This window comes from Homo sapiens, chromosome 1, assembly GCF_000001405.40.
Source record: "Homo sapiens chromosome 1, GRCh38.p14 Primary Assembly".
Classification (NCBI taxonomy): Eukaryota; Metazoa; Chordata; class Mammalia; order Primates; family Hominidae; genus Homo; species Homo sapiens.
Window position 1 is genome coordinate 105,327,787 of NC_000001.11, and position 11,048 is coordinate 105,338,834.

General features: G+C 31.2%; 1 annotated feature.

The window, feature by feature from the left end:
- Positions 9,520–10,021: an enhancer, noted in NCBI's record as "NANOG hESC enhancer chr1:105879928-105880429 (GRCh37/hg19 assembly coordinates)". NCBI's record gives its function as "activates a minimal SCP1, AML or CMV promoter by ChIP-STARR-seq in naive H9 embryonic stem cells {active_cell/tissue: H9 hESC(naive)}" and the evidence as "EXISTENCE:reporter gene assay evidence [ECO:0000049][PMID:30033119]".

Here is an 11,048-nt window from a genome sequence, read left to right on the forward strand (position 1 = left end):
GCATAAATAACATCAAAAATTTCTTTCTTGTCTAAAAAGTTACATCTCTAGAGATTTTTTCTCTAAAGATTTAATTCCACAAAATAGATTTTTAAAAATCAAATTATTATAAGAATCTAATTTCTACTTGAATACCAGATAACACTGTTATAAACTTGAATGATTCATCTTTTAATGGATTTTATATTCTTAATGTGTAAACACTTTAATAATGATTGCTTCATTTTCATAAGTGGCAAGAAAACCTGGACAAAAGAATAAAGAAATCTAAAAAAAAATTTGATCTAAATGATAAAAAATGTCTACAGAGACATTTGTCTATGCACCTTTTTAAGCCACATGCTTTAAATAACATTTTGACAGAGTACTCTGAAAAAACAGTAATTTCTTTTTAAAAATATGCCAGTATTTCTTCGGTAGATTTTGTTTCATAAGTTTGAGAACACACTACACCTGCGATGGTGGATGAAAAGTGTAATAAAATACGTTGCACATTTTGAAATAAAAGTAATGACAGACTTACAGTCTATCACAAGTTACTGAAGCCTCAGAGTATGAGTATTCAGACTGCCATCTACATATTGTACTTAACTTGTATTTTCCGTACATATTTTGCAGAACCTATAATTAACAATTTTTGAATGGGCAAAAGCTGGAAGCATTTTTCTTGAAAACTGGCACAAGACCAGGATGCCCTCTCTTATTACTCTTATTCAACATAATATTGGAAGTTCTGGCCAGGGCAGTCAGGCGAGAGAAATCAATAAAGCGTATTGAACATAGGAAGAGAGGAAATCAAAGTATCTTTGTTTTCAGATGACATAATCCTATATCTAGAGAACTCCATCGTCTCAGCCCAAAAGTTTCTTAAGCTGATAAACAATTTCGCTACAAATTCAAACATCTGACAGCTTGGATTTATAACATGACCACAGAACCACTGCCTTATACATAAACTCACTGGCAGGGGCAACAGTGTTAAATAATTTTTTGATAACTACTTAACACAATAAGAGATTAGCTCTCTAAGAACATATAGAGGACAATGAGCTTATTAGAAATATGTGGAAAATTTATAAGTGAGATTACTTATGAAGAGAGGAGGAGGAATCAGTTTATATATGAATGGGGCAATTGTATATATTTTAGAAAAACAGCAAGTGTATGTTGACAGGTAAGTTAACAAAATTTTTAAAAAACAATTTCATGTAGTTTTAAGTTGAAACATTCTATTACTATTTTTTTACATTCCTGATTTTTCAACATGGGGGATTTAACTTAAAAGATTGGTTGACATGCCCAGGCTGCATAAAATTTAGTAGCAAGGAGTATGACTCTGGACTATAGACTTCCAGTTTGCTGTGCTTTTGACTAGACTACAGTTTCACTCTTTGCCATGATATAATATGATGTAATATAATATAAATATAATAATTTTATTTTATTGGCATGTCTACCAAAAATTAATTAGAGAGGCAATATAGTTTAGAACAGAGTCAGAAAACTTTGGACCATGTAGCAAATTTGTCCCCGCCCCTGCTTTTGTAAATTAAATTTTACTGGAACAGAGCCAAGCCCATTAGTTTACTCTTGTCTATAACTGCTAGATCCAGAGTTGCATAGTTGTAACAGACACTATAGGACTCCAAAATTCTAAGATATTTACAATCTGAAGCTTTGTAGAAAATATTTGCCTATTCTGGTTTTAACACCAAAAATTGGGTTTTGTATTTAATTCTTAATTCATTGCAGACCAATAATTTTCTAAATATAATAAAAATGTATTATTAGAAAATAACCATGCATTTAAATAACACACCAATGTCACACAGCTATTATGTTGATAAATTTCAATGTCTATTTGAATCTACCAATAAAGTGGGGCAAACAATTCTTGGATCACATATGTTCATAAAATGCACTTTTAGTGGCACTGTTGCAGAGGTAAATAAACAACTCTGGAGCAAAACTGCCGGGGTTTAAATACCGGCTCTGCAACCTACTGTTATTTATTTGTCAAAGTAGTTATCTCTGCATTTCTCACAAACCTCATCTGAAAAATGGCTATAGTAATAATAATAGTTGGAAAAATAGCTTTTGCCTCATAGGATTTGCAGAAACATCAAATTACTTACGAAGCACTTAGAACATGCCTAGCATAAATGTAAGCATCAAAGTGTTAGCTATTGTTATTAGTTCTTAATATATGGAGTATTCATAAACTAAAAATATACCTGAATATTTAATGACTTAATATATCAACTATTGTTTTCTTTGAGTCAAAGAAGATAGAGTATATCTGTGTGAATAATATTGGACAGGAATGTATCCAAAATTTGCATAAAGAAATCCAGTTGAAAATCATTATTTTTATTCCTTTGGTAACTATTAAGACATTGTTAAAGGACTATGAATAGAAAACAAATTTAAAAGTGTCCATTTAAAGAAAACATAAATGAAGGACATGTTTTTCAAGCAAGGTTGCAGTGCTCTTGAGAAAAATCTGCTAGCTAGGCAATACACCAACTTTTTTGCTCAATACAGGGTCTTGTTATTATAGCCATTTTCTTTTGAATTCTCATTTACCATATACCACAAAATATTACACCCTTTATTTATAATTGGGCATCAATTTACAGTACCCAGAGGCAATGATGCAGGTCACTTTTTCTCAACCTCATCTGCCTTTCTTTCAGAATTGTTTATTTCATGTTTCTAAATCTCAAGTCTATAAAGAATTTGGAAGTCCTTCACAAAGGACAAACAATAATTTTTAAACATGAACTAGTTGATGTGTTTTTATTTAAATGTATGAAAATATAGAATCATATAAAATGTTTGTCAGAAACATATAATGTTTACTCAAACCAAAATTGGATTAATGCAGTGGGATAAATATCAGCAAGTGATTTATATATTCTGTAACAGAAAAAATCTGCATAAATATTAGTTTGCAAGCCCAAATTTCTTATATTCATTTTATAAAATAATTACATTAATGATTATTCAAACTGTACCTATCAAGCTATTTCTATCTCAAATATATAGATTCCCTCAAAAACTTCATTTTTAAATTAAACTTAATTGAAATAGAGGAAATGATAGGAATAGAAATTTTCAGAGAAGAAAAATCTGAATACAAATACATAAAAAATATTTAATTCACTAGTTATGAATTAAATACACATTGAATAAATCACGTAACATTTTATAACCTTTAGAATGATGAAACTGTTTTCTAATCAGGAGTCAATATCAGGAGTGGGGGAAGGCACAAGGAATGAAAACTCATACAGCTAGTGAAGGCATATTTACTTGAAACTATTTTGAAAGGAAAATTTGCAATCTAGAAACTCTGAGAAGAAAAGCTAAGTAGAGCAAAGAGGGTTGTGAACTTCATTGATGTCGCAGAGCAGTGCCCTTCACATAGACAATAATGATGCAAAATTGTGCAGTAGACAACCTGCATAGCCGAACACAATATTACTTGTGTGTCTATGATTTAACAATTTCAATTTCAGGTATATTCTCAATCTAGAAGGGAGAAACTCTGAGATGTATGCTCTTATATATGTAGACCAGATAAAATTTGGAAGTAACTTAAATGCTAGTAAAATAGAGATATATATTTGTGCATGATGCATTTAATTGATAATATAAACAAAGAAATATAAAATTATATTAAAATTTTTTAGTATTATTAATATATGAAGTAAAAATGTATTTAAAAGTAGAATGGAAGGCTTTCTAAAAAATGGTTACCTCTGGTTAGGATGGGAAGAAAAGGAATCTGTAGAGGTTTCTATTCTGTATCTCATCTATAACTATAATTATTAATTGTTTCAGAGAATATCTGAGGCAAATATTAAAAAAGTAACATTTGTGGCCAGGGTTGGGGGGTGGTGGTGGCTCAGGCCTGTAATCCCAACATTTTAGGAGACCAAGGAGGTCGAATAACCTGAGGTCAGGAGTTCAATACCAGCCTGGCCAACATAGTGAAACCCCATTGCTACAAAAATACAAAAATTAGCCAGATGTGGTGGCACATGCCTGTAATCCCAGATACTCGGGAGGCTGAGGCAGGAGAATTGCTTGAGCCCAGGAGGCAGAGGTTGCAGTGAACCAAAATTGCACAACTGCACTCCAGCCTGGGTGACACAGTGAGACACCATCTCAAAAACAAACAAACAAAAACAAAACAAAACAAAACAAAAAAAAAACCATTGACAGTTGATAAATATGAATGGTGGTTACAATAGTGTTCAGTTTATCATTCACTCCATTATATTATTTTTATTTTTGCTTGTTTAATATTTTTATTTAAAAGGGGAAAAGGGAACTGATATTACAATGAGCAGCTAATATTTAGTTTGCTTGAAAAACTGAAAGAAGACAGATATTATATTTTCTGTATATTTCTCACATTTGATTCTTAAAGCTTTGGTTCCTATTTTTTCTTATCATAGATAATATCTTATTGAGCTAAAATTGGGCTAATTATGTTATTTTTGTTTTTAATTTTATATCTACCTATCATATGATCAATTGGAATTTACAGATCATAAAATATTAAGTAGTTACAAAATTAATCTTTACATAGTAAGGTATTTGGTTAGCTATCTGTTAAATTTTAATCAACTTAAACCTTGAGCATCATTAAAAGAACTGGATGATGCATATATTAATAAATTCAAGCAATAAATAGTTATTAAACACTGAATATAATTGTAAACCTTGCCAGGGGAAAATATTGTCAGTTTAGGATACCATTATTCTTTTCCTTTATCAATTTTTGGTGGATAACAGAAGCAAACAAAACACAAAGTTAATTTCTTAAAACAATATTTATTATTATTCACATAACAATGTGTCATACTGGCATTCTGCCAACCTGAACCAGCTTTAGTTTACCTCTGTTGATTGTTGTTGGGTTTGGCCATTTTTCTGTGCTCTGCTAGTAGGAAAGTTAGGAGCTTCCTAGTCTAGGATGGCTTCATTCATATATCTTATATAATTAGAATGACTGTTAGTTGAAATAATGAGGTTAACTGGACTCCGTATCATCAATTCTCCAGCAGAGTAGCCTAGATTATGGTGGGAGTGTTCTAAGATTAGCAAGAAGGTGAGCCTTAATGTGAAAGTCCTTTTTATGTCTGTGCTTAGATCACAATTGCTTGCATCACATCAGCCAAAGTAAGTCAGATAGCCAAGCTCAGATTCTGCGTTGAAAATAAAAAAAAATTAAAGGGTGTGAGGATAGAGAAAGATGATCACATTAAGGCTACTGCTGCATTCATTCCACAACACTAATGTACTGATGGAAGAACATGAATTATTAATTTATTTAGAAAATACTTATTAGAAACTACTTTATGCAAGGAAATCTCCAATGAAGCAGATTGAACATTGAAAAAAATTGCAAATTGAAGAAAATACCCTGCCAAAATGGTTTATATTTCAGTGTGAGAGACAGAATACTACTACATAAACAAATAAATACATTATATCGTATAGTGATAAATGAAATGTCAGGATAAGAAAAAAAAAGGAATTTCTAAGTATGCTAGGTTTGTTGCTATTTTCCACAAGTGGCCAGGAGAGCATTATTACATAGGTTTACACTTGAAGTGGCTGGGTTAACAGCCCATGTTGCTATCTGGAGAAATAACATTATCTACATAGGGAACAGCTATTGAAAAGATACAGTTCTGTGCATTTTCAAAGAGCAAGATCACCTTAGCACTAATAGAAAGGAGTATGGAAGTGGTAGGAAATTAAGTCTAAATACATCTGGGTATATATTACAGTAATTTTAGATTTTGTTTGGTTCAAGTGAAAAAACATTAGAGGAGTTTTGATTAGGAGAGTAACACTTGTCATGCATTTTTAAAGAGTCATTACGCTATTTTATGTAATAGGGACTATATAGCAAGGTAAAGGAAGAAGCACAGACACCAGTCGATGATTGCGGTGAAAAATGATCATGGTTTTAATAGGGCTGATAGTAGTAAAATTGTTAATAAGTGGTTACATTTGGAATACTATTATGAGGGTGGAGGCAGCAGAACTTGAGGGAAAAAAAAAAAAAAACTGAGGCAAGTGGAGAAAGGGAAGTACCATTCATGAGTTTGAACTTTTGGTCTAAGCAAATGGGAGCTTTGGAGTGCCTTTTTTTTTTTAACCCAGGATGATTTGGATTAGGAGTTATTGGGAGAGCATATGATGTAAAATTAAGAATTGGGCTATGGATAGATTAGATTAGCAATAATTAATAGACATGTGTATTAACTACTTAGGATTGCTTTAACAAATTATCTCAAACTCAATGGCCTAAAACAGCCAAGGCTCTAGAGGAGAATCCTTCTGTGCTTATTTCCGCTTTTGGTGTTTCCTGATAGTCCTTGGCTTGCAGACACATCATGCCAGTGTCTGCTTCTATCTTCACATTATCTTCACTGTGTGTCTCTTGCTCATCTCCTTTATTTATGAGGACATCAGTTATAGGATTTATGACTCACTATAATCCAGTGTAACCTAATTTTTCATTACATTTGCAAAGATTCAATAGCCAAAGGGGTTCATCTACTGAAGGCCTAGGTGGACATGTTTTTGTGGAGACCCTATCAACCCACTACGATATCCATGTGGGGATAACTTCATTGACTTTTTTTTTTTTTTTTTTTTTGAGATAGAGTCTTGTTCTGTCACCCAGGCTGGTGTGCTGTGGCTCAGTCTTAGCTAACTGCAACCTCTGCTTCCCAGATTCAAGAGATTCTCATGCCTCAGCATTCCGAGTAGCTGGAACTATAGGTGTGCACCACTACGACTGGCTAATTTTTTTTTTTTTTTTTTTTTTTTTTTTGAGATGCAGTCTCACTCTGTTGCTCAGGCTGGAGTGCCGTAGTGCAATCTTGGCTTACTGCAACCTCCATCTCCTGAGTTCAAGCGATTCTTCTGTCTAAGCCTCCCAAGTAGCTGGGATTACAGGTGCCTGCCACCACACCCAGCTAATTTTTGTATTTGTAGTAGAGACAGGATTTCACCATGTTGGCCAGGCTTGTCTCGAACTCCTGACCTCAGACAATCAGCCTGCCTAGGCCTCCCAAAGCGTTAGGATTACAGTTGTGAGCCACCACGCTTGGCCTACTTCATTGACATTTGGATATGTAAAATAAAATTGGAGGAGAAGATTGATGATGGAACTACAAATGTTCAAGTATCACTATAAACTACAGATTTCAGTGAGATCACCTAGGAAATGAGCATAGAGACAAAAAGAGACCCTAGGATTAAGCTCCATGGTGCTATTTAGATAAAGGAAGCAGTTAAAGAAGATAATTTTCTACTCTACATTGAAATATATAAGCCATTGCTAACCTTGACAAGACTAGCTGGGAGAAAGAGTCAGGCAGAAAACCTGACTGTAGTAAGCTTAAGACAACATATAATTAGAATGAGTAGAGACAGCTTTTTATAATCAAGTGCATAAAGAGAAGAAGAGTATGGGGGCGGTAGTGGGAGGGTGATGTGGGTTCTAATATTATCTCTTCAAAAGTTGTCAGATATTATAGCATGTTTATGTGTTGACTTCATACCAAAATTCAGAAAGGTCATATGTAAGAAAAGCCTAAATGCATGGAATGGGCAGTAGACACTGTAAGCCTAGAAAAAAAAAAAAAAAAAAGAAAAAGTTTCATTGTTTATTTTTTTCCCACTGATGTAAACAGGAGGACTTTTATGAAGGCTAAAAGAAAATTTAAATTCTCCATGCATATTAAGAATCCTGACATATAATAATTATTTAACAAATACTATTACATCTAATTGTATAAATGAATGAATAAATAAATAGCATCTGGGGTGAGAAAAACTTGTTTAATTTTGGTGATGAAAACTGATATACTTTTGAGGAAAATTATAATCATTTTAGGTTTATGTATAAAGTAGCTGGGGGAATTGGGAATTGGTAGGGCATGACAAAATGGAATATTCTGGGAATGCTGAGCATTCTCGTGTAAAGAATATAGATTACTTATACCAAATGAGTGAGTAATAATTTGGGGAAGTCAATTTGATTCAACTTTGGTGAACTTTATAAAAATAAAAATACTATTTCAAATGGGTACAAAACATATTGATACTATGATTTTGAAAGATACATCTGAAACTCGCTTTTGAGGACATTCAAGTTAACAGTATCTAAGAGCAAAGGAGGCTTTGCTAACAATCCAAGTATGAGAAAATTAGGACTCAGTCTGAATGGTTCTAAAGCAAATAGAAATGAAGCATGAGTGGGTGCAAAGAACACCCTTAAAGGAATATTTCGTCACTCATCTTCATATACCACAGTGACATATTTATATATAAATTTATATATATATAATTTTTACATTTTATATAAATATACAAATATTATTTTTTTAAAATGACATTAAAATTAATATTAATATAAATTAATTTAAAATTAAATTAATATAAAATAAAATATATAAATATTTTATATAAATATAAAAATATATAAAAATTTTATATTTTTATATATAATTTTTATATATTATATAAATTATATATATATATATATATATTTGCTCTCCTGTGACTTTACTTCTGCTACTGCTCTCAGTTCTCACCTCTGACTATATTCTACCCATTTGGTTCTTATCTTAAAAATCTCCTAGTCTATAAAACAATGAACAATTTTGATAGTGAATAATTATTCCTCATTCCTCTTAACACCTAGAATATCTTATTTCTACATATTAGGATGCTAAATTGTCTGTTTTACAGTATAGTCAATATCTTTCTTCTTTTATCCTAACTTCTAGTGGGTTTCACATTCTATAATTGTATTATACTGATGTTAGTAACTCTTTAAACTTAGTGGTTGTTTTCTTTTAAATTGTAGCCACCTAATAATCAATTTAAACAGTTCATGATAGCATAACAATTGTAAAAGGAAAGGTTGCAAATTACTAATGTTTTTAGGATGGAAAAAACTGATAAGCCATTGATAACTTCAGGTATTGATTATGTTACAGCTACAAACCTTGCCTCCCCTCAAAAAACAAAAGAAAATAATAGCAAAACATAGGAGGCTATACAATAAAGTAATATTATAAAATTTTGAAAAATTTTAATAAATTATGAAGATGAGAGTAGATTGTATGACAAGCAATGTACATGTACATAATGACAATATGCACAAATGTATCCTCTGATTTAATTTTCATACAACTCTAGGAAGTATCATACTTTATAGATGGAAGAAGAAACATTTGAATTTATGATGTGAATAGTGGATTGAAAGCATAAACCTTGGCTTTTTGTTTCTGTATGTAGATTTATTCCTTCTGTACCACAGCTATTGTCATAATTTGATTATTACTTCCTTATGTGTTTTTGGGATGATTATAACTATCTAAATTGTTTTCTGGCAATTGGACTGAGTCTGGTACCTGTATGAAAAGACACCCAACTGATATTTGAACAATAAATAGAATTTAGGCCCCAAAAGGTCTTATTTCCCCTGTTTCTAGCTAATACAGTCTTTCTCTCAATCTAAAATTGACCTACATGTTGAATATGGAAGAAAAGAAAAAAAATTAATTAAACAATTATTGATCGTTAAGTTATTCAATGCTTGAATTTGATGGAAAAGGTTATACTGCTGGGAAAGCTTTTGAACTAAAAAGAATGCATCTTTAATGTGAAGTGAATCTAAAGGATTCTTATGTAAGTGCTGTATTAAAATGGCCTCATCACCAGTCAATCTGTTCCCAACAGTTACCTGCTAGTCTGAGTGCTCCATACCATTATAAAAATCTGTCAAGCATTCAAAACCAATTACACACAGGATGTCAAGTGTTGTCATGCCAGCTGTCCTTTGACTCCTCAGAGGCTCTGGCTGCCCATATTCAGTTAAAAATATATTCTACTACATTGGGGTTTTTGTTGAGATAAACTTTACTATTTTATATCCATTTGTTTTATTTAATTAAAGTAAATATGATGGTTTTTAATGACCAATAATATTATAGGCCACAGAAAAATTTATTGGTTAATACATCCTACAAACTTTTGATATCAAAATAAAAATCTCAATGTCTGTGGGTGAATTTCTACATAATTTTACACGAAAGATTGAATAACTTTACTATCTCATGAAAGAATGTTGGTAATACGTCTTTCTCAATCTGAGAAATAAAAACATTGAAGCTAGTAAACTGAGTGAATAAATTACTGATAACATTTTAGACAATTTCCAAAAAATGATTGGTATATGCATATAATTTTAAAAATTTCAAATCTCTTTGGATGACATATTTTTATAGTTTCAACAAAATTGATAATAACACTGATCAGTAGCAACAAATGAACTACCTGCTTCCTGTTAAGGAAAGTATGAAATTCTTTACGATCTAGAAAAGAGGATTTTGAAAATATTTAAAAACAATAAATAAATATTGCAATGAAAAGTATCAATCACTAAGTTCTAAAATGTTCAAAAAAGTTGTAATTAATACTTTATTGGAGAAATAAGAGATCTATAAATTGCACACTGTGGTTTCAATGGATCTATACTCTAGATAATTAAATTTAGCTGAAAGGAACCAATAATAACAAAATGAAGGACACAAAATGTAGAAGAATGACCATACTCCTATGTGCACCAAAGCTCTTAAAGTATATTGAAAATTATTAACGCAGTGTCATAATTAACCTTCATAACTGAAGATGAATGTGTTCCTTTGTATTTTTTATATTTGTCTTTTTCATTTTATTATTTTAGTATCTAGTACCCATTCATTGAATTCATAGTACTATACGATTGCAGAAAATTTTATTCTATTGTCATTAGTTTTATTTTAAAAAGAAGCAAATATTATTGGACGTTAAATTTTTTTAAAATGTTACTTAATCTATAACTAAGTAAGAAATGACAGTAGTTCTAGGTGACCACAAACCAACATCTGATAGATCAATAAACATGTCAAAAATATTAATCAACAGTGTTAACAGTAACAATTAATTATATCCATTTATGAAGT